We start from the raw sequence: 24,348 nt of genomic DNA, 5'->3' as shown, positions 1-24,348 counted from the left end.
TTAAGAGCAAAGTACAGGAAAAGTTGAGAATCATTGCCTATCGCAATCCCCTCATTTCATAAATGAGAAAATTCATCTACAATTAAGCAACTTGCCCAAGATCACTAAGATTATCTCAATGTCCTTTTCAATGCTAAGGTCCTATGATTTTATCTTATTTTAGTGATGTTAAGGAATCAATTGAATTAGTTATGGGAAGGCAAGGCTTATTGCCCTCATTCACTCATTGAATTCTGCCATTCACTGAATTCTAACCTAAGCCAGAAAAAGATTCTCAGAAAATTATACTAGGAAGGTGCATTGGCAGAGAGGGGCTGATCCACTTTGAAATAGGTGAATGAGAGACATTTAGCCTGACGTGCTCCTCAAATCTCCTTCATTCTGTCCTGTTCTCCACTTCTGGTAGAGAAAAACAGTCACATCAAAACACAGATTGATTGCTTTGATAGCTATGCTAATTTGCACTACAGATCAAACTATGGCCACCAAATTCATGAACTTCTCTCAAATTGCATCGCAAAGAGGAAGAGATAAACTACAATACACAGACGTCCATAACTGAAACATCTCTGTTTGCAAGTAAAATAGCATTATCTCCTGAGGGTTCCTGGTGACTAAGCAAAGCTCAACTGTCAAACCACTGGCCTATTGATAGTTAAGCACAATATGCTTCCTAAAAAGCACCTCCTGCTCCTGGAAGCAGCAGCTTCACCCAAGAGAGAATATAAAAAATTAGCAATTTTGACTTCTGGAGTACACATCAAATTTTGCTCTGATTGCTTGCATAGGCTCTGCTTTCTGGTTTTATCATTATTCTTCCTCTCTTTTGGCAAATGATAGAGTTTAGGAAGGTGTTTCCTTTCCACTAAAACCTAGCCAAAAATACAAGCTAATTTTAGGGATTCACTAATACACAGTAAAACCTAGTCCTTAAGAAGACATAAACCAAAATCTCTCTCAGAATTTAAGAACTCCTCATAGTTTATCTTTATTTTTCTAAGGCTTTTAAAGTGAAATTAGCATTGTGTATAGATTTCTAAACAAAAAAAGATACAATGATTATTTTAGAAAAAAATTCCTATTTCGAACATATTTTTGGCCATTATCTTAGCTGTTAGAGCAGTTTATTTAATTTTTTTTACAAAGGGTGGAATTAGAACTCAATATTTTCTAATTCATAACAGTAAAGTAATACATATTATAATATCTAGAGTTGTCAAGCATGCAGGGGAATACCCCTTTACAAATAATGGCTACAATGTAAATGAAGAGAATCTTTGTGGAAAGCAAATTGCCAGGGCATTATAAAAAATTCAAGAATATTAATATCCATTGACCTAGTGAGTATATTTTTTAAATATATTATCTTAGGAAAAAATTTAAGAACACAAGGAAAGATTTAACCTCAAGAGCTTTCCTAGCACTTAAATAATTGATAAAATAAGTGCAAAAATAATATAAAGTGATTTTGAAGGACTTACAATTTCTAGAACAGTAGAGTAAAGACTTCCAAAAAGCCATTCCTCCATAAAGCAATAAGAACTCTGTCAACAATTATCAAAATCAACATTGTCAGGCCAAGAGCAGCGGCTCACACCTGTAATCCCAGCACTTTGGGAGGCCAAAGTGGGAGAATCACTTGAAGCCAGGAGTTTGAGACAAGACTGGGCAATAAAGTGAGACCCCCATCTCTGCAAAAAATAAAATAGGAGGCTGAGGCAGAAGGGTTGCCTGAGCCCAGAAGTTCAAGGCTGCATTGAGCTATGATCCCACCATTGCACTCCAGCCTGCATGACAAAGTGAGACATCATCTCTAAAAATAAAAATTAAAAAAAATGTAAAAAGTCAACATTGTCAGAGCTATCAAAGTTAAAAGAAGGCAAAAATCTGAGGTGTGTATTGAGAAAAAATAAGAGAATCTCAATAAGAATAGCAAGCTTTGAGATATTTTAACTTACATTAATCTTGTCCCTCTCTACCCAGTGTTACAATAGTTTTAAAAAACAATAGCTTAACAATCATAGTAGCTTTGAAATCCACCAACCTAGAAGCCACTAGAGAAAGAAGAATGGATTCAGAGCTCCCTAAAAGTCCCATCCCCAGGGTACTGTCACTATTTTACCTATCTGTCAGCTTGCTGAAAAGCTCCACTCTCAGAACTTGTCATTATTTATCTCTCACTCAGAGTCACTCTGTCCTAACCCCAGTGCATTTGTTAAAAACTATCAGTGGTAATTGTTTAATATTGCAGCTACTTGAAGCAGCATTAAAGCAGGAGTTAACAAGATACTGAGTAAAATATTTAAGGATGTCTATAGGGGGCTTTGAGAAGCTCCTACATAACCCTGGGATCCAGAAGGTCACATAACTGTGCAAGGCACCACGCATGCCCAAGAAACACCTAAGAAGGCTCAAAACTCTTATTGCTGGCTAACCTTGAGGCTCTGTGCAATCCGAAAGTGAAGGATAAGCAGGGTTGTAAACTTCCCACTGAAATTTTGAAAACATGCCCCTCATACAGAGCCCTTTGGCAAAGGTTGGGAGTCGTACTGGTTCAAGACATTTACGGAAATCTCTATCCAGTCAATAGCTGACCATTGAACTAACCGAGCAGAGTCACTGGCCACACATGACAGAGAATACAGACTTTGCAGAATAAGTTTAAGAAAGTCACTTGACAAACAGCAACAATGATAACCACAGAAACAAACAGCAATAACAAACTGGGGCAAGGAGAAAATACAATTTTTCAGACTTGCTATATTATGTTATCATAAATGCATCCAGTTTTCAACAAAAACAATAGCAACAACAAAAAATGAGATATGCAAAAAAACACGGAAGTTTATTTGACGACACATAAAGTAAGCAATATAAACTGTCTTTGTGAAAGCCCTGAGGTTGGACTTATTACAGAAAGACTTTAAACCAGCTATTATAAATGTTCAAAGAACTAAAAAAAGAAAGTCTAAAGAAAAATAAAAGTATAACAATCACTTCTAATTAAAGAATACCAATAAAAAAGCATCAAAAAGAAGGAACTAGAATACTAGAATTGAGAAATACAATAACTGTAATGAAAAATTCCTGCAGGAGTTCAACAGCAGATCGAACTGGCAGAAGAAAGAATAAATGAATTTGAGGACAAAACATTTGACATTATTTAGTCCAAGGAACAGAAAGGAAAAAGAGTGGAGAAAAATGAGTCTCAGAGATGTGTGGAACGCTACTAAGTGTACTAACATGCCAAAGATTATAGTCCTGGAAGGAAACAGGAAAAAGGGGCTGAATGAATATTTGAAGAATAATAGCCAAAACATTTCCAAATTTAATGAAAACATTAATCTGTACATCCAAGAAATTCAATAAACTTCAAGCAGGATAAAGTGAAAGAAATTCATATGTGGACACATCATAGTGAAATGTGGAAAGACAGAAAATTTTGAAAGCAGCAAGAGAAAAATAACTCATTATATACAAGAGAGCATCAATAAAATAGCTGATTCATCATCAAAACCACTAAGGACAGAACATATTCAAACTGGTGAAAGAATAAACTATAAATCAACATGTATGTTAACTACATGCAACAAAACTGTTGTTGCAACACAAGGGAGAAATTAAGACATTACCAAGTAAATAAAAATTAACAGAATTCATTACTAGCAGATATGCCCTACATAAAAATACTAAACGGACTCCTCTAGGCTGAAATAAGCGGACATTAATCAAATAAAGAATGCCATTAGAGGTGACTACATAGGTAAATATAAAAGAGAGTATTTAATTTTTTTTCTACAGGATTTAACGGAAACTGCATAATACAAAACTATAAAACTGTGCTGATGGGTTTATAATACATAGAGTGCGATTTGTATGACAGTAATAGTAGAAAGGAAGGGAGAAATAGAGATATATTGGAACAAAGTTTTTCTGTATTGTTAAAATTAAATTGGTATAAATCTGAACTGGATTATCTTAAATTAGGATGTTAACCAGAATTTCCAGGTCAACCGCTAAAAAATAACATTCTCTTTTTGTTTACATATATGTATGTGTGTATATATATGTGTGTGTGTGTATATATGTGTGTGTGTGTACACACATTTATACTAGAAATTTATATTAGAATTAAAATAGTATACTAGAAAATTTCTACTTAACACAAAATATGATAGTAATGGAGGAACTGCAGAACAAAAAAGACATAAGACATACAAAAACCAGCAAAACATCAGATAAAAATCCTATCTTATCAAAAATTACATTAAATGGAAATGGGCCAAATATTCCAATCAAAAAGCAGAGACTGGCAGAATTGATTTTTTTTTAAAGCAGGATAAAACTATATACTGTCTACAAGAGACACACTTTAGATTCAAAGAAACAAGTAAGTTGAAAGTAAAAGGATAGAAGAAAGATATACTATGCAAAGTAACTGAAAGAGAGCAGTAGGGACTATACTATCATCAAACAAAAAAGTCTTTAAGACAAAAATTGTTGCTAGAGACAAAGAAAGACATTTTACAATAATAAGAGGCCATCAGGAAGACATAACAATTATAAACATATATGCACTTAAAAGAGGCCTAACATATATGAAGCAAAAACTGAAAGAATTGAAGAAAGAAACTACAAAAATAATTTGAGAATTCAATACTCTACTTTCAATAATAGATAGAACAACTAAGCAGAATATTAACAAGGAAATAGAAGACTTGAAAAACACTGTTAATCAAGTAGGCCTAACAGATACAAAGATGCTTCTCAACTTATGATGGGATTATAACCCACTAAAGCAATCATAAGTTGAAAATCATTAAAAATGCATTTAATACAACCTACCAAACTTCATAGCTTAGCCTGAGCCTACCTTAATCATGCTAAGAACATTTACATTAGCCTACAGTTGGGCAAAATCATATAACCCAAAGCCTATTTTATAATAAAATATTAAATATCTCATGTAACTTATTGAATACTGTACTGAAAGTAAAAAACAGAATGATTGTATGGGTATTAGAAGTACAGTTTCTACAAAATGTGTATCATTTTCTCACCATCATAAAGTCCTAAAATCATAAGTTGAGCAGTCATTAAGTCAGAGGTCATCTGTCTACAGAGAACGCTCCACTCTAAAACAACAAAATACACACTCTTCTCAAATACACATACAACATTCTCCACAATACACCATATATTTGGCCATAAAACAAGTCTCAATGAATTTTTAAAAATTTAAATAATAAAAATATGTTCTCTAATTTCAAAAGAATAAAATTGAAAGTCAATAAAAGAAGGAAATTTGGGAAATTCAAAAATACATAGAAATTAAACAACACATTCCCAAAACCAGTAAGTAAAAAAAGACATGACAAAAGAAATTAGAAAATTCTTTTAGATGAATGAAAATAAAAACACTTATGGGATATAACCAAAATAGTACTTAGAGAGAAATGCGTACCTGTAAACACTTATATTTTAAAAAGGCAAACAATCTCAAATCAATAACTTAACCTTCCACTTAACAAATTAGGAAAAGAATAGTAACTAAACCTTAAAGTCACCAGAAGAAAGAAAATGATGAAGACTAGAATGGCAATATGTGAAATCGAGAATAGAAAAACAGAATTCGATGAAACCAAAAGTAGGTTCTTTTAAAATTTCAACAAAATTGATAAACCATTAACTAGACTGAACAGAAAAAAAAAAAAAAGAAAGCAGATTCAAATTACTAAAATCAGAATTGAAGCAAGAATATTGCTGCTGACTGTAGAAAAGTGAAAGATTATGAGGGACTATTATGAACAACTGTATGCCAACAAATTAGAAAACCTACATGAAATGGACAAACTCCTAGAAACACACAAACTACTGAATCTGACTCAAGAAGAAAAATTTTAAATATCTGAATAGACTCATATTCATGCCATATGAAGAAATTTAATAAGTATTCAAAAAATTCCCATGAAGAAAAGCCCAGGCCCAGGTAGCTTTACTGTTGAATTCTATCAAATGTTTAAAAAACAATTAACACAAGTCCTTCACAAAGTTTTCCAAAAAATAAGAGTAGAGAACACTTCCCAACCTGTTCTATGAAGCCTTTATTAACCTGATACAAAAAAAACAAAGATATCACAAAAACCCTACAGATCAAACACTTTTTGAATATAGATACAAAAGTCTTCAACAAAATACTAGCAAATTGAGTACAACAATATATAAAAAAAAGATATAGCATGTGAGAGTTATCGCAGAAATGTAAGGTTGGTTTAAAATATGAAAATTAATATAAAGCATCATGTTAATATAAAAAAGGACAAAAACCACAAGATCATCTCAATAGATGCAGAAAATGCATTTAACAAAATCCAGCACCTATTCATGTTCAAAATACTCAACTAACTAAAAATAAGAGGAACTTTCTTGACATGATAAAGGCATTTACAAAAAAATCCACAACTAGCATCATACTTAATGGTGAAATGGGCTATATCCCATTGGCCAATAAGATGACAAGAAATACCTTTGCGACAACTTTCTATTTTTTCACTAACTTTTAATTTTGAAAAGTTTCAAACCTTCAGAAACTTAAAATATAGTATCATGCACACCCAAATGTCCTTCACCTAGAATCAGCAGTTTTTAGTATTTTTTAATACTTTTCCCTCTCTGCTGGGAGAGAGAGACAGAAAGAGAGGAAGAGAGAGAGACTTTTTCCTGAACCATTTAAGATTCCTTTGTAGATACCTTACCCCTAATTAAGACTGTATCTCTTAGGGTTAAAAATATTTTTCTTTTCTTTTATAACCACAACATAATACACACTAGGAAATTTAATATTAATATAGTACTATCATCTAATATATAGTCAACCTTCAAATTTCCCCAACTGTCCTAATATCTTTTATAGTATTTTTTTTCAATCCAAGATCCAGTCTCTTTCATCTATCTTCATCTAAAAACACCGTCCAAATTTCTTTTTTTCTTTTATAACATTGAATGAATAAATGAATGAATGGTTGCACTCCCACACTAAAACATGTCAGAGTCACAAGGACACTAGAGACTTGGGATGGTTGAACCACATAGCTCCTTTTTGAACATAATTTGGTCACACTGTTCCTAACCCTTCTTTTCACCTTCTCTTCTCCAGCCTGTGCACTCGACATGTGATTATTACGTGATGCATGAGTTTGTTGGAGAAAAGAATTACAGATGGGCCATTTTTTAGTAGATCAGAAAAATGAACACAGATGTTAACCAATTTGTGACAGACAAATATAAAACTCTATCTTGATCATTAGGCTCTGGTTATGGCACTCTCCCCTAGAGGGTTTGATGAGGTCTCCACTTCATTTCTGAGCGTAGTGGCCTTTTAAGTTCTGAGAATGGGGAGAAATCAAAGAGGTATTTAACAGAAGGAATTGAGGGAAGGTAAGAAAGAAAAGCCTGGAGGATAAGATGTGCTCTCTATGGCCTCCCTGCCCTCCTTTAAGCCTTGTCATCATTCCCAAGCCTCAGGTTTATGCAGAATTCAACTCCAGCCTTTCAAACTCATTTGGACTCATTCAACTAGGATTGTGGGAAGGTCAGAAACTGAGCAGCCAACAGGCTGGATACCCTCTTATCTAGATTATCAGCTGTGGACTGAAGGTCCCAGAAGGAAAGGCTCTGAGAGAAAAGAGAAACTGATATGAGGCAAAATATACTTTATCTGAATAAATTCAGAAGTTGTGGTCAAACTATATCTTCTATAAATGCTATAACAATACAAACCAGTAAATAACGTAAAGCCTGTTCCACATTAATCAAAATTTGAACATACAAAAATTATTTCCTAATAAAAATAAAGTTTACAAACAAGTCTTCCTATATCTGATTATTTTTATGGGGAGAACACATCTTTTTAAAGCTTGAAATTGTTGGGTTTAATTCAAAGCTACCTTACCATTTTTTTAAACTAGCTGCAAGATCTTCTTGACTTAGAATTCTAAGTTCTCATTCACCAAGTTGCACATCCTCTGCAGACAAAGCTCACGGTGTCCTCAGTGCCCAGGCAGGTAAAGTGAAGTCAAAAGGGAACCAGTGCCTAGAAACTGCCATTTTGAATTTTGACTCTAAAGCTGTGTACAAAGGTTTGATTTCCTCTCTGGGAACATGTAAGAGAATGGTGCGAAGCACCCCACTGCTAGAAAGAATGACTTCGCATGAAATCTCTTTATAGTCATTGCCAACTTTAGGTTCAGGGGCTCAGAGCAGGCGGGCAGGGAAGAAAGAGATGTTGAGAGCTCCTTGCTCATCTCCATACTGCAAGTCATGAAATCTTGAGACAGCCTTCCCAACACTAGAGGCTTCTCTCCTGCTGAGGCCTTCAAAACTTCACCTTCTTGGAAGAAAAACAAGTAAGACAAAAGAAAGTTGTTTGGCTTCTAAATTAGACTGGCCTCTCCTCTGATGAGCAGGTCGGCCACTGCGCCAGACTCTGTCATCTGCCAGGCCTTCGGCAGCCGGGGGATCACATCACACTGTTTGGCTGCACAAAGCCATGGTTAGGGCTGCTCCCCACACAGATCCAGCCAACAACAACAGCCCAGCTCACCATTCAGCCTTGACCCTGTGTTCTTGTTCACAACGTTCTCAGGGAGTCTGCTGAAACTGAACGGGAGAGGTTTGTTTGAAGTGTTTGTGGATTTGTAAAGTTAGAGGAGGTAATCCAATCTGCCCCCAGTAAATCTTCAACTTGAGAGTGCCTAAGTTTTGAGAATTCCAGAGTATTCCCTTCCAAAGAAGGAAAAGCATTCAAGAACTCACAAATTAGAGTCTGCTCTGACATTCCAACAAGTCACAATTTAAAAGCAAACAGTACTGGTGTTTGAGGGCAATGACCAGATTCCCACCGAAGTCTAGCTGACCTGGACACCATAGAAGGGCCCATTAGAGGGTTTTCTAAACCAGAACAAGGATAACGCACAGACAATTTGATAGTGTTTTCCAAACTAAGCAAGGTAACTCCATTTATCTTGGGTAATAGAATGGAATTCAGGACTTTCCCAAATGTTAATCAACTGTTGATAAATACTGTGATTGGAATTTTGTGTCTTTAGAAATATCAAATGCTTGGTATTTGTTCATTCATTCACTAGGCAAATATTTGTTGAGCACCTACAATGTGCTAAGTTCCATTTTAGGTCGTGGAGATACAGCAATGAACAAAACAATGTCCCAGTCCTAATGGAGCTTGTATTCTACCAGGGCAGGGAAAGAAGAGAAAGACAAAATGAAAAAAGCACATCAGCAGGTGATAAATAAGCAATGGGGAAAAATAAACAAAGTCAGTTTAGTAGGGAGTATCTGGTGGCAGGGGGATTTAGGAGCAAAGCAGGGTTACCATTTTAATAGGAAAAACGTCACTAAGCAGGTGACATTCAAGCATATCTGGCTCCTTCATTTCCTTCAAGGAGCTGAAGAAGTCAGATATGTGGGCATCTGGGGAAGAGTCTTCTGGACAGAACATTCAAATACAAAAGAACTGAGGTGAGAACGTGTCTGACACATTCAAGGAACAACAGGGAGCCCAGAGGGTCTGGAAAAAGTATACAAGGGTATATTACTCCGTTTTCACACTGCTATAAAGAAATACCCAAGACTGGGTAATTTATAGAGGAAAGAGGTTTAATTGACTCACACTTCTACATGGCTGAGGAGGCCTCAGGAAACCTACAATCATGGCAGAAGATGAAGGAGAAGCAAGCACCTTCTTCACAAGGCAGCAGGAGAGAGAGAGCATGAAGAGGGAAGCGCCAGACACTATCGAACAACCAGGTCTTGTAAGAACTCACTATCACGAGAATATCATGGGGGAAACTGCATCCTTCATTCAATCACCTCCCACCAGGTCCCTCCCTCAACACATGGGGATTACAACTTGGATTACAATTCAAGAAGAGATTTGAGTTGGGACACAGAGCTAAACCATATCAGAAGGAGAGTCTTGGAAGACAAGTTGAGGGCAGAGGGGAGCTCTGGCTTTAACTTGGAAAAATAATAGATGATGCCATTAGAAAATCTGAAGCAGAGGGGGACATGACACTTAGAAAAGATCACTCTGGTGGGTAATTAACTTTCACTTTCACTTTCATCCTGATCTCTCCACACAATATCAGTACCAACTGGGTAGAGAATATCAACATGGGATGTGATGGCATTAAGTGGGAGGGAGGAGGGAGGGTCCTGTTGAGCATGAACATAAGACCTGCTCCTTCCTTATCCCCCAAGATAGGTTACACTTGCACTGTCCAATATGGTAGCCACCAGCCACATGTGCGATTGAGCACTGGAAATGTGGTTAGCCTGAAATAAGAATGCTGTAAGTGAGAAATACACACTGGAATTTAAAGTCTTAGTACAAAAATAAAGAGAATGTAAGATATCCTATTAATATTTTTATAATGATTACATGTTGAAACAATAATATTTTGGATATATGGGGTTAGGGATGGTGTATTATGAAAATTATTCACCTTTTTAAACTTATTTTAATGGAAAATTAATTCAACTTTTTAAAAACTTACAGTAACGCAGCTACCAGAAAATTAAAAATTGCATATGTGGCTCACACCATATTTCTACCAGACAGTGCAAGATTAGAATATTACTAGAATGGTGGTAGACCTTCCCATCATAAACAGGTATTAAATAAAGTGCAGTCACTACTTACTGAAGAAAAGAAATGATTCAGACTACAAACCACTATCTCCCTATGCATAGCCTTCTGTATGAAGGGCAATAATTGTAGACAGCAAGAAGCCATTTGGTAGGTTTCTCCTCAGTAAACCAAACCAGAAAACTTAGGCTTAAAATATTTGGGTTTGATATAAAAGTGAGTGTCCTAAAGAGTGAATTTAAGCAGGTAACCATAAAAAAATACGACAGCTAAAAATCACTCAGCTATGCAGGAAAAGGAGTCACCTAGTAGATGCTGGCTAGCAGGCACAGCATGTATTATTCCATGAAATCCTCACAACCAGCTGGGACTTCTTTTATTTAAAAAAAAAATGGGGGTGGGACTCTCTGGGGCTCCAAAGCCCTACAGTTTTACTAAAGCGACTTTTTCATTTCTACATTGAGAAGCAAGGGATCTTAACTTTTTTGTTTTGCACAAAGCTCTTTATGCATGAAATAGCTTCATAGGTCCTATTTGCTGCAGCAACCATGTTAGAGATAGAGGAAGAGAACAGAGGGTTTCTGGGTATTGTTTGCCAAGAAGCAGTATCCCCATTTTATAAATGAGGAAAGTGAGGCTTGGAGCTGTACACTTATTTGCTCGAGGAGCAGAGCTGAATGGAATCCCTGTCTGACCAACTCCAGAAACCATGTTCCACCCACCAGGGCACCCTGGCCTCAGTGGGGCCAGATCCCAGGTAGAATATATGGAACTTGTGAGGTGGCCCCTGACTGTAAGACTCTGAACATGGGACCCCAATTCATAGAAAATTCAGGCCTCTTTTGTACAACATTTGGACAACACCTGAAATAGGGAAGCAACAAGGATTAACACAGAGAAGGAAGCAACACCTTAACATCTGCACAGGCCTCATGGAACCAACGCTGCCAAAAACAGCAGGGGTCTCTGTCTGCTTAGAGAACCTCAAAGCTCTTCCAAATATCATCAATCTTACATGGCCTGGTTTTATGCTAATGTGGAGGCATACCATGCTACTGGAATGCCTTTCCATTTCTGAGCTTAGGAATATAAGATTGTACAACAAGCATAGAAATATAAGGTCCACCCATTCAGCAGCATCCATGATAGAGCCTTGCAACAGGAGGTCTCATCCTGGCTCTCAACATTGTCCTATTTTATTGTCTTCTCCTTGCCTTCAGGAGGAAAAGGAAAGCTTCCTCCACTTCTAATTGTATTTCTGCAAACAGAACCCACAAATCCATCTCATGAGTGAAGAAGTTCATGTCCTCCAAAATGGATGAGAGCCTCTTGCTCTTTATCCTAGATACATATGAGGTACCACACATGTCTTAGTATTTTAGAGAAACTTTATTATGTAAGAGTCTTTTTAGTTTTTTAATACAATAAGCTGTACCATGGCCACAATCATAAGTAAAGACTTTTTGCATCTTTGAATATAATTTATGATAATATTCACTATTTAAAAATGTATATGACTGCATTTATAAAAATTCCCATATCCCAAAAAAGAGTAAATTTTACAGTATAAAAATTCAAAAGTAAATTTTAAGATGTACATTTTAAAATGTATCAGTGACCTATAAGAAAAAATTTTTCTATTAATTGGTATTTAGAGTCAGTCAAATAATTTGCTTCCTGGGAAAGTGAAGGCCCTTTCTGAATTGAGATATTATAGAATTGTAGAACTGAAAAGATTCTAACAAGTCCTTATTTTACTGATGGGGAAACTGAATCCCAAAGAGGTGAGTGGGAAGGTTCCAGGTGACATAACTAGCCAATGGTAGAGGTAGGACAGGACCACAGGTCTCCTCACTCCCAGGACAATGGCCTTTTGTTCACAACAATCCCCCCATGGCACATAGAATCCATCATCACGCCCTAAAGTCAATCAGAATAATCTAACAGCAAAGGCAAAACTTTTAAAAATACCAAACACAAGATGGCCGAATAGGAACAGCTCCGGTCTACAGCTCCCAGCGTGAGTGACGCAGAAGACGGGTGATTTCTGCATTTCCATCTGAGGCACCGGGTTCATCTCACTAGGGAGCGCCAGACAGTGGGCACAGGTCAGTGGGTGTGCGCACCATGCGCGAGCCAAAGCAGGGTGAGGCATTGCCTCACTTGGGAAGCGCAAGGGGTCAGGGAGTTCCCTTTCTGAGTCAAAGAAAGGGGTGACAGACGGCACCTGGAAAATCGGGTCACTCCCACCCGAATACCGCGCTTTTCCGACGGGCTTAAAAAACAGCGCATCACGAGATTATATCCCGCACCTGGCTCGGAGGGTCCTACGCCCACGGAGTCTCGCTGATTGCTAGCACAGCAGTCTGAGATCACACTGCAAGGCGGCAGCGAGGCTGGGGGAGGGGCGCCCACCATTGCCCAGGCTTGCTTAGGTAAACAAAGCAGCCTGGAAGCTCGAACTGGGTGGAGCCCACCACAGCTCAAGGAGGCCTGCCTGCCTCTGTAGGCTCCACCTCTGGGGGCAGGGCACAGACAAACAAAAAGACAGCAGTAACCTCTGCAGACTTAAATGTCCCTGTCTGACAGCTTGGAAGAGAGCAGTGGTTCTCCCAGTAAGCAGCTGGAGATCTGAGAACGGGCAGACTGCCTCCTCAAGTGGGTCCCTGACCCCTGACCCCCGAGCAGCCTAACTGGGAGGCACCCTCCAGCAGGGGCACACTGACACCTCACACTGCATGGTACTCCAACAGACCTGCAGCTGAGGGTCCTGTCTGTTAGAAGGAAAACTAACAAACAGAAAGGACATCCATACCAAAAACCCATCTGTACATCACCATCATCAAAGACCAAAAGTAGATAAAACCACAAAGATGGGGAAAAAAACAGAACAGAAAAACTGGAAACTCTAAAAAGCAGAGGGCCTCTCCTCCTCCAAAGGAACGCAGCTCCTCACCAGCAACGGAACAAAGCTGGATGGAGAATGACTTTGACGAGCTGAGAGAAGAAGGCTTCAGACGATCAAATTACTCTGAGCTACGGGAGGACATTCAAACCAAAGGCAAAGAAGTTGAAAACTTTGAAAAAAAATTTAGAAGAATGTATAACTAGAATAACCAATACAGAGAAGTGCTTAAAGGAGCTGATGGAGCTGAAAACCAAGGCTCGAGAACTACGTGAAGAATGCAGAAGCCTCAGGAGCCAATGTGATCAACTGGAAGAAAGGGTATCAGTGATGGAAGATGAAATGAATGAAATGAAGCGAGAAGGGAAGTTTAGAGAAAAAAGAATAAAAAGAAATCAGCAAAGCCTCCAAGAAATATGGGACTATGTGAAAAGACCAAATCTATGTCTGATTGGTGTACCTGAAAGTGATGGGGAGAATGGAACCAAGTTGGAAAACACTCTGCAGGATATTATCCAGGAGAACTTCCCCAATCTAGCAAGGCAGGCCAACATTCAGATTCAGGAAATACAGAGAACGCCACAAAGATAATCCTCGAGAAGAGCAACTCCAAGACACATAATTGTCAGATTCACCAAAGTTGAAATGAAGGAAAAAATGTTAAGGGCAGCCAGAGAGAAAGGTCGGGTTACCCTCAAAGGGAAGCCCATCAGACTAACAGCGGATCTCTCAGCAGAAACTCTACAAGCCAGAAGAGAGTGGGGGCCAATATTCAACATTCTTAAAGAAAAGAATTTTCAACCCAGAATTTCATATCCAGCCAAACTAAGCTTCATAAGTGAAGGAGAAATAAAATCCTTTACAGACAAGCAAATGCTGAGAGATTTTGTCACCACCAGGCCTGCCCTAAAAGAGCTCCTGAAGGAAGTGCTAAACATGGAAAGGAGCAACCGGTACCAGCCGCTGCAAAATCATGCCAAAATGTAAAGACCATCGAGACTAGGAAGAAACTGCATCAACTAATAAGCAAAATAACCAGCTAACGTCATAATGACAGGATCAAATTCACACATAACACTATTAACTTTAAATGTAAATGGACTAAATGCTCCAATTAAAAGACACAGACTGGCAAATTGGATAAAGAGTCAAGACCCATCAGTGTGCTGTGTTCAGGAAACCCATCTCACGTGCAGAGACACACATAGGCTCAAAATAAAAGGATGGAGGAAGATCTACCAAGCCAATGGAAAACAAAAAAAGGCAGGGGTTGCAATCCTAGTCTCTGATAAAACAGACTTTAAACCAACAAAGATCAAAAGAGACAAAGAAGGCCATTACATAATGGTAAAGGGATCAATTCAACAAGAAGAGCTAACTATCCTAAATATATATGCACCCAATACAGGAGCACCCAGATTCATAAAGCAAGTCCTGAGTGACTTACAAAGAGACTTAGACTCCCACACATTAATAATGGGAGACTTTAACACCCCACTGTCAACATTAGACAGATCAACGAGACAGAAAGTCAACAAGGATACCCAGGAATTGAACTCAGCTCTGCACCAAGTGGACCTAATAGGCATCTACAGAACTCTCCACCCCAAATCAACAGAATATACTTTATTTTCAGCACCACACCACACCTATTCCAAAATTGACCACATACTGGGAAGTAAAGCTCTCCTCAGCAAATGTAAAAGAACAGAAATTATAACAAACTATCTCTCAGACCACAGTGCAATCAAACTAGAACTCAGGATTAAGAATCTCACTCAAAACCGCTCAACTACATGGAAACTGAACAACCTGCTCCTGAATGACTACTGGGTACATAACGAAATGAAGGCAGAAATAAAGATGTTCTTTGAAACCAACGAGAACAAAGACACAACATACCAGAATCTCTGGGACGCATTCAAAGCAGTGTGTAGAGGGAAATTTATAGCACTAAATGCCCACAAGAGAAGGCAGGAAAGATCCAAAATTGACACCCTAACATCACAATTAAAAGAACTAGAAAAGCAAGAGCAAACACATTCAAAAGCTAGCAGAAGGCAAGAAATAACTAAAATCTGAGCAGAACTGAAGGAAATACAGACACAAAAAACCCTTCAAAAAATTAATGAATCCAGGAGCTGGTTTTTTGAAAGGATCAACAAAATTGATAGACTGCTAGCAAGATTAATAAAGAAAAAAAGAGAGAAGAATCAAATAGATGCAATAAAAAATGATACAGGGGATATCACCACCGATCCCACAGAAATACAAACTACCATCAGAGAATACTACAAACACCTCTACGCAAATAAACTAGAAAATCTAGAAGAAATGGATAAATTCCTGGACCCATACACTCTCCCAAGACTAAACCAGGAAGAAGTTGAATCTCTGAATAGACCAATAACAGGAACTAAAATTGTGGCAATAACCAATAGCTTACCAACCAAAAAGAGTCCACGACCAGATGGATTCACAGCCGAATTCTACCAGAGGTACAAGGAGGAACTGGTACCATTCCTTCTGAAACTATTCCAATCAATAGAAAAAGAGGGAATCCTCCCTAACTCATTTTATGAGGCCAGCATCATTCTGATACCAAAGCCAGGCAGAGACACAACCAAAAAAGAGAATTTTAGACCAATATCCTTGATGAGCATTGATGCAAAAATCCTCAATAAAATACTGGCAAACCGAATCCAGCAGCACATCAAAAAGCTTATCCACCATGATCAAGTGGGCTTCATCCCTGGGATGCAAGGCTGGTTCAATATATGCAAATCAATAAATGTAATCCAGCATATAAACAGAGCCAAAGACAAAAACCACATGATTATCTCAATAGATGCAGAAAAAGCCTTTGACAAAATTCAACAACCCTTCATGCTAAAAACTCTCAATAAATTAGGTATTGATGGGACATATTTCAAAATAATAAGAGCTATCTATGACAAACCCACAGCCAATATCATACTGAATGGGCAAAAACTGGAAGCACTCCCTTTGAAAACTGGCACAAGACAGGGATGCCCTCTCTCACCACTCCTATTCAACATAGTTTTGGAAGTTCTGGCCAGGGCAATTAGTCAGGAGAAGGAAATAAAGGGTATTCAATTAGAAAAAGAGGAAGTCAAATTGTCCCTGTTTGCAGATGACATGATTGTATATCTAGAAAACCCCATTGTCTCAGCCCAAAATCTCCTTAAGCTGATAAGCAACTTCAGCAAAGTCTCAGGATACAAAATCAATGTACAAAAATCACAAGCATTCTTACACACCAACAACAGACAAACAGAGAGCCAAATCATGAGTGAACTCCCATTCACAATTGCTTCAAAGAGAATAAAATACCTAGGAATCCAACTTACAAGGGATGTGAAGGACCTCTTCAAGGAGAACTACAAACCACTGCTCAAGGAAATAAAAGAGGATACAACAAATGGAAGAACATTCCATGCTCATGGGAAGGAAGAATCAATATCATGAAAATGGCCATACTGCCCAAGGTAATTTACAGATTCAATGCCATCCCCATCAAGCTACCAATGACTTTCTTCACAGAATTGGAAAAAACTACTTTAAAGTTCATATGGCACCAAAAAAGAGCCTGCATCGCCAAGTCAATCCTAAGCCAAAAGAACAAAGCTGGAGGCATCACACTACCTGACTTCAAACTATACTACAAGGCTACAGTAACCAAAACAGCATGGTACTGGTACCAAAACAGAGATACAGATCAATGGAACAGAACAGAACCCTCAGAAATAACGCCGCATATCTACAACTATCTGATCTTTGACAAACCTGAGAAAAACAAGCAATGGGGAAAGGATTCCCTATTTAATAAATGGTGCTGGGAAAACTGGATAGCCACATGTAGAAAGCTGAAACTGGATCCCTTCCTTACACCTTATACAAAAATCAATTCAAGATGGATTAAAGACTTAAACGTTAGACCTAAAACCATAAAAACCCTAGAAGAAAACCTAGGCATTACCATTCAGGACACAGGCATGGGCAAGGACTTCATGTCCAAAACACCAAAAGCAATGGCAACAAAAGGCAAAATTGACAAATGGGATCTAATTAAACTAAAGAGCTTCTGCACAGTGAAAGAAACTACCATCAGAGTGAACAGGCAACCTACAAAATGGGAGAAAAATTTCGCAACCTACTCATCTGACAAAGGGCTAATATCCAGAATCTACAATGAACTCAAACAAATTTACAAGAAAAAACAAACAACCCTATCAAAAAGTGGGCGAAGGACATGAACAGACACTTCTCAAAAGAAGACATTTATGCAGCCAAAAAACACATGAAAAAAAGCTCATCATCACTGGCCATCAGAGAAATGCAAATCAAAACCACAATGAGATACCATCTCACACCAGTTAGAATGGCAATCATTAAAAAGTCAGGAAACAACAGGTGCTGGAGAGGATGTGGAGAAACAGGAACACTTTTACACTGTTGGTGGGACTGTAAACTAGTTCAACTATTGTGGAAGTCAGTGTGGCGATTCCTCAGGGATCTAGAACTAGAAATACCATTTGACCCAGCCATCCCATTACTGGGTATATACCCAAAGGACTATAAATCATGCTGCTATAAAGACACATGCACACGTATGTTTATTGCGGCATTATTCACAATAGCAAAGACTTGGAACCAACCCAAATGTCCAACAATGATAGACTGGTTTAAGAAAATGTGGCACATATACACCATGGAATACTATGCAGCCATAAAAAATGATGAGTTCATGTCCTTTGTAGGGACATGGATGAAATTGGAAATCATCATTCTCAGTAAACTATCGCGAGAACAAAAAACCAAACACCGCATATTCTCACTCATAGGTGGGAACTGAACAATGAGATCACATGGACACAGAAAGGGGAATATCACACTCTGGGGACTGTTGTGGGGTGGGGGGAGGGGGGAGGGATAGCATCGGGAGATATACGTAATGCTAGATGACGAGTTAGTGGGTACAGCGCACCAGCATGGCACATGTATACATATGTGACTAACCTGCACAATGTGCACGTGTACCCTAAAACTTAAAGTATAATTAAAAAAATAATTAAAAAAAAATAAAAATACCAAACACTTCACTGCATTTTTCCTAGACCTTGGTCAAATTATTTTACTTAATGATAGAAGTTTGAGATAAACACACAGTTTGGTTATAAATGAAATCTTGCTTCAATCTCTGAAAATTTCTGTGTTGGAAAAAAAAATTCTCTTACAATCTGATGTTTTTCTGGGCATATGTTCTGTCCATTCAGTTAGTGGGCTTAGTTATTAAAGACAGCTGTGTCTATTGTTTATGAATATTATGGATGCTGAAAACCTAATAACAAAATCCAAAATTCTCAAGAGTCCCCTCCCTCTCCTGTTGTTGAACTTGACACTGAAAAGAAATGCATTTCCCATCAATGTCAAAAAAGAGTCACTCCTAGCATTTGCCAATCACATTCATCACCCCAACTGGTGGGGAAAAGATCCCTAAAGTCAACACAGCCCTATAATCCAATATGTGAAAGGACACTAAACACTTGTTTAATAAAATGACAGCATGAAAAAAATTAAGATATATATCAGTATGAATAATGTAGTGAGAGTAATTTTTCATATTCGTTTTGAAATTAAAAAGTAACTTTTCTATTATTAAATGTTAGTTCTTAAAATATGACCAAAAGATACTCCTTCATAATGAGTAACTGCTTTTGTTAACGCTTGACTACATTACACATTTATATCTAATCAAGTCAGAAATGAAACTGGTACCTCCTCCTTTTGCCTAAAGAGAATGGCATGGATAAACTATAGTTTTCCTTTTTATTCATTATGAATATCAAGTTTTTTTCTGCTGTTTAATTCTAGCAATAGTCAGAGGTTTAAGAAGTCCTCACATAGTTTTGTAATTTAACATCTGGAACATAATGTGGTTAATCATGATCACATTGTCTGACTCTGTGTATCACAGAGAACAGAAGAGAGGCACAAGAGGAAAAAAAAAAAGTAGTAGGATTCTGTGATAGACATGTTTGACACTGGAGCTGACTCCTGGTCACTTATACCTGCCATGGGGCCCCTTATATGGAAGGTGCACCCAGATCAAGGAGGCCGTGTCCTCTCCAAACAACAAAGTCTGCTCAGTATTTCAAGTTGGCTCTTCTAAACCACAGCTCGAGATCTTAGGTGGATTTCAGAAGGATGAGTCACTGCGTATGACTCAGTGTAGGCTCAGAGATGGGCTTGAGAAGGGAATGTTGGATGGTGCAGAGGAAGTACTCTTCTCCTTGTGTGTTTGTGGTTCAGCATCCTCCAATCTTCAGAGAGGATTGTGGCTCCCTGAGATGCAAACACATCGCGGCTCACACACCAAACAAGTGGTACCATTTAAAATTCCACTCTGAGGGAATGGTGGTAATTGAAGCCATTCACAGGCCCACAGGAGCACTGCCACCCTCCAAATCGAACATTTGAATGACATTTAAAAGGTGCCAGAATGTGTAATCAATTCATTCAAAAGATATTTCCTGAATATCTAGTGTGTGCAAAATTCTGGGATAGTTATTTGAGGAGAGACCAAGATAGCAATGAAAATGACTCATGGTACTTTACTAATACCAGGCTATCGTGCAGAGCGCCTGATGGGAATGGAAGAGGGGAAGCTCAAGTAGGACCAGGGACAGGGAAGTGGAAGCAGGCGGGGAAGGAGATGGAACAGAAGGGCACAGGAGGGGAGGGGAGCCACGAAGCACAAACAAACAAAGGAGCAGGGAAAGCCGCAGGCCCAGAGGTACCAAACTGGTTTTTTAAATGAAGTTATCTGGCTAATAATGGACAAAAAGATCAGAAAGTTCTGGAAATGTCCTAAAGTACTCTGAGACTAATATTTTATCCTATTTTGTTGACTAAAAAGGATATTTCTTTTATTTTCATTAATGAATATTTCCATTCTCGTCCTCCCACAACACAGAATGATACATTCTTAGACTTGCTGTCCCCTGAGCTCACCCCCCGTTCCATCCTCTTCACACAGCTACTCTTAAGTCTCCTTACCAGCTTTTTGCAATGGTTGTGGTTGGAGCCTCTTCCTCTACAGATTTATCATGAATCTTTCATGTAACCATGCTCATTAAAACCATGAATATTTTCCTACTGCCTTCAAGATGGGCATCAAGACCAAAGTAGGAAGGTAGAAAAGTTCTAGATTGTATAACTCATTTTCAAGAACATGGATACTCAAATCAACAGCTATAAGACTAGTTATTTAGCCAAATATTCACTGTTTCCTATGTGTAAGACACTGTACTCAAGCTGTGAGGTACATTATCCCTGTCTACTAGGACTTTAAAATTTGAAACCCAGAACAACATCCTAGGAAAAGTAGAAAGAGATGGGCAGAGGAGCCCAAATGAGAACCAGACTTGGAGAGTAGGGGGATTCTGGATAGTTCTCTTTCTGAGCCAAGAAGGAAAGAGAGAAGACTAGGGAGGTTAGGAGGCTGCAGAGCCATGAGTATGAGAGGAAGCACTATAGAAACTCAAAAGAATGAGTCATATCAATATGGGAGCAGGTACAGAAGGTCGCAATCTCAAAACGAAGGAGTTAGAGATGGAAAAGAAGGAGTTTAAATAATGAAAAGTCTTGGACAAAATAAATGTGGGAACTGACAATGCTGACTCACTTTTCTATTTTTTAATATATTTGGATCAAGATTTGAGGGGTAAAGATTGGAAGAAGACATGGGATTTTAGCAAACTATGCAATTATCTACCATGCCATATGCATACTAAGGTCAAATGGCACACAAAGCAGTTTCAGTGTTTTTAAACGCATCTTAACATATCTAGCCGAGGATTAAGATCCTTCATACACATATAAACTTCAATAATACTTTAACTACCCAATAGAAACATTAGAAATAAAAACACAGACAATTTACAGAAAAAAAAAAACACAAATGGCTGATAAACATATGGAAAATGCTCAGTTTCAGAAGCCAAATGCCATGAAAACAAGATTTCCAAATGGAAAATAGTTATGGTGCAGGAAATATGTAGTATACACCTATATACTGATTATTGGAGTGGGAATTAAGACATTGATTTGAAGTACTTCAGCAACACACACACACCCCTTAAGATATTTGATTCGTTGACCCACTAATTATAGAACTTAGCCAAAGAAATAATCAGAGAAACAAAAAAGATTAATTTTCAAAGATATCTGTCACATTATTCAAAATAGTAAAAACTGAAAATGTTAATTTTTAACAACTGAAAATGATGAAATTATGGTTTTATGGAAATATTATGTAGCTTTTAAAAGTATTCTCAACTTTTTCATGAAATGGAGACATATTCACAATATAATGTTAAATGAAAATAACAAGGATATAAAACTACCTACAGAATTATAGGTACATATGGAGGGAAAAAAGTTAGAAGGAAATATATCAAATCATATTAACAGTAGTTATCCTCGAGTTGTACAATTATTTTAATTTCTCAATATATCTAGGCTTTTTGAAATTATCATACAATGCTTTATATGTGGCACAAGAAAGGCTGCATTATGGTTTTATTTTCACAAGTCAATAGATTGTATTTGGCTGAAAAGGAAAAGTGAATTCCTCTTCATTTTTGAATGCCCAGGGCCTAACATAGTGTGTAACACAAAACAGACAAACATGGTTAAGCTAACAAAGGACTGGCTGGCTGTACAGGCAAGACAGAGATATAAAGATGGAAAGAGGAATGGACAGATAGTTTAAAAAGTCTTCAGCATTTAGTAAAATCCATATCTGTTCTAGGATTTTTAGGGGATAAAAGGAACACATGATTTGACAGACCTTAGAGAAAATAAAAGGATGAAGAAGAAAATTAAAGGAATGATCTTTTCTAGGATACAACGAAGTGAGATTTAAGCAATTGAGCTAATTCTTCTACCAACTCTAATCCCTATTCCAAATTTCACTCAAATCTATAAACACATCTGCTTCTTAGACAGATAAGAGAAAGTAACTTCAAAAGCAATGACACAATTTCTCCTTCCATCTACCAGGAGGATAAATTTACAGTCACACAACACTGAAAGCTATGTCTAGGTGAACCCAACTCCTCCATAAAATTTCCAAGGAAGCTATTACAATTAATGCTTAAACTTCAGTGGATCACTGCAATGGAGAGATAAGCCCACTGGATAAGCACTTTTTTTTTTTGAGACGGACTCTTGCTCTGTTGCCCAGGCTGGAGTACAGTGGCATGATCTCGGCTCACTGCAACTTCCACCTCCAGATTGAAGTGATTCTCCTGCCTCAGCCTCTTGAATAGCTGGGATTACAGGCACGCACCACCATGCCCAGCTAATTTTTGTATTTTTAGTAGAGACAGGGTTTCACCATATTGGTCAGGCTGGTCTTGAACTCCTGACCTCGTGATCCACCCGCCTCGGCCTCCCAAAGTGCTAGGATTACAGGCATGAGCCACTACACCTGGCTGGATAAACATTTATTTTTATCTATTTTTGGGAGCAGAGGCAATAAGGGTGGCTCTGCCCGGAAACTATCACATTTTCTTTGTTTATGCATATTTTCTTGGTAAGGAGATGCATTATAGATTATGTCTCAATTTTCCAACTTACCTGAGGATAACAGATATGTGTTCTTCATTCACACTGGCATTATGGAGACAAATGCTTAGGCTCAATGCCCAAGGCTGAAATCTGGTATGAGTTTAAACTTGCTTAGACGTGTGAACTTTGGAGAGAGGAAGTGTAATTTATTCTTTTATTGTGTCAATATTTCTTGTACCAGATTTGGGTTTTTTTCCCCAATGCTTGCATTACCATTATTTCTCCCTCAAAATGGCTGGTCGTTCTTCACTCCATAGACTCAAATGCCATTTCCAAGTTTCAAATCTCCACCAACAATTATAGATAATATCTCAAAATTACACTGGTTGGTGCAGGGAGAGGATAGACAGAGAGAAATGGCATGTAGCGTTATAATCAGGCAGTTTATGGCTTCAGTTCTTGCTAGTTTTTTGACTTTAGGCAAGCCATTAAACTTCTCAGAAGCTTGGGTTTTTGTTTGTTTGTTTGTTTTTAAACAAAAAAGAAGCGAAGACCTCCTAGGTTGCAGAACAATTGTGAAAATTAACATTATATACTATATGTACCTGGCACAGGGTACACATTCAGTAATAATAACCATTATCAATAATTCCTCTGTAAATAAATCATTTGTGGATTTCTTTTCAAACTATGCATTTTCATATAAATGCTCAAATGTCAAAGAAAAACTTTCTTTTCCAACTTTTTTCCCTGTTGTGCTCAATATGAAGTCAATGTCTCCCTGTGTAGAAAAATAGCTTTACAGAATATTTCAGCTACAAACAAATTATATAAAGAAATAATCATAAGGAATCTTATAAGCCATTAAAATAAAAACATACATGAGGGTTAAAATTTAGGATTTGTCCTGCAAACATTTAAGTCCAGGATGAGGTAGAATTTAAAATATAGAACAGTTATTCCCAATATTTTTAATATAAAAAAATTGAGCCCCCTACTGGTTTCAAGAACTTGCTAAAAGTACTTAACTTGCTGAAACTACAGTCTAGTAACACAGATAACTCAACTATGCTCATGAACATTTCAAGATGTGATTTGAAGCTCTTGCCTTACCGTTTTCTGCAACTCTAAACTAACATATTATGAAATTTTCCCAGTCCAAATCAAGCCCTCACACTGA

At 37.6% G+C, this 24,348-nt stretch overlaps 1 protein-coding gene across 4 annotated transcripts in view, besides 2 other annotated features; it reads right to left on the bottom strand.

The window, feature by feature from the left end:
- BMPER (BMP binding endothelial regulator) overlaps positions 1-24,348 on the bottom strand; it is a 251,513-nt gene that overhangs the window by 149,148 nt on the left and 78,017 nt on the right. The window lies entirely within an intron of this gene.
- Positions 12,215-12,844: an enhancer, noted in NCBI's record as "H3K27ac-H3K4me1 hESC enhancer chr7:34034048-34034677 (GRCh37/hg19 assembly coordinates)". NCBI's record gives its function as "activates a minimal SCP1, AML or CMV promoter by ChIP-STARR-seq in primed H9 embryonic stem cells {active_cell/tissue: H9 hESC(primed)}" and the evidence as "EXISTENCE:reporter gene assay evidence [ECO:0000049][PMID:30033119]".
- Positions 12,845-13,475: an enhancer, noted in NCBI's record as "H3K27ac-H3K4me1 hESC enhancer chr7:34033417-34034047 (GRCh37/hg19 assembly coordinates)". NCBI's record gives its function as "activates a minimal SCP1, AML or CMV promoter by ChIP-STARR-seq in naive and primed H9 embryonic stem cells {active_cell/tissue: H9 hESC(naive and primed)}" and the evidence as "EXISTENCE:reporter gene assay evidence [ECO:0000049][PMID:30033119]".

The sequence above is a fragment of the Homo sapiens genome, chromosome 7 (genome assembly GCF_000001405.40).
Source record: "Homo sapiens chromosome 7, GRCh38.p14 Primary Assembly".
Classification (NCBI taxonomy): Eukaryota; Metazoa; Chordata; class Mammalia; order Primates; family Hominidae; genus Homo; species Homo sapiens.
Note: the sequence above shows the minus strand (reverse complement) of the source record. Positions and strands in the feature narration are given on the sequence as shown.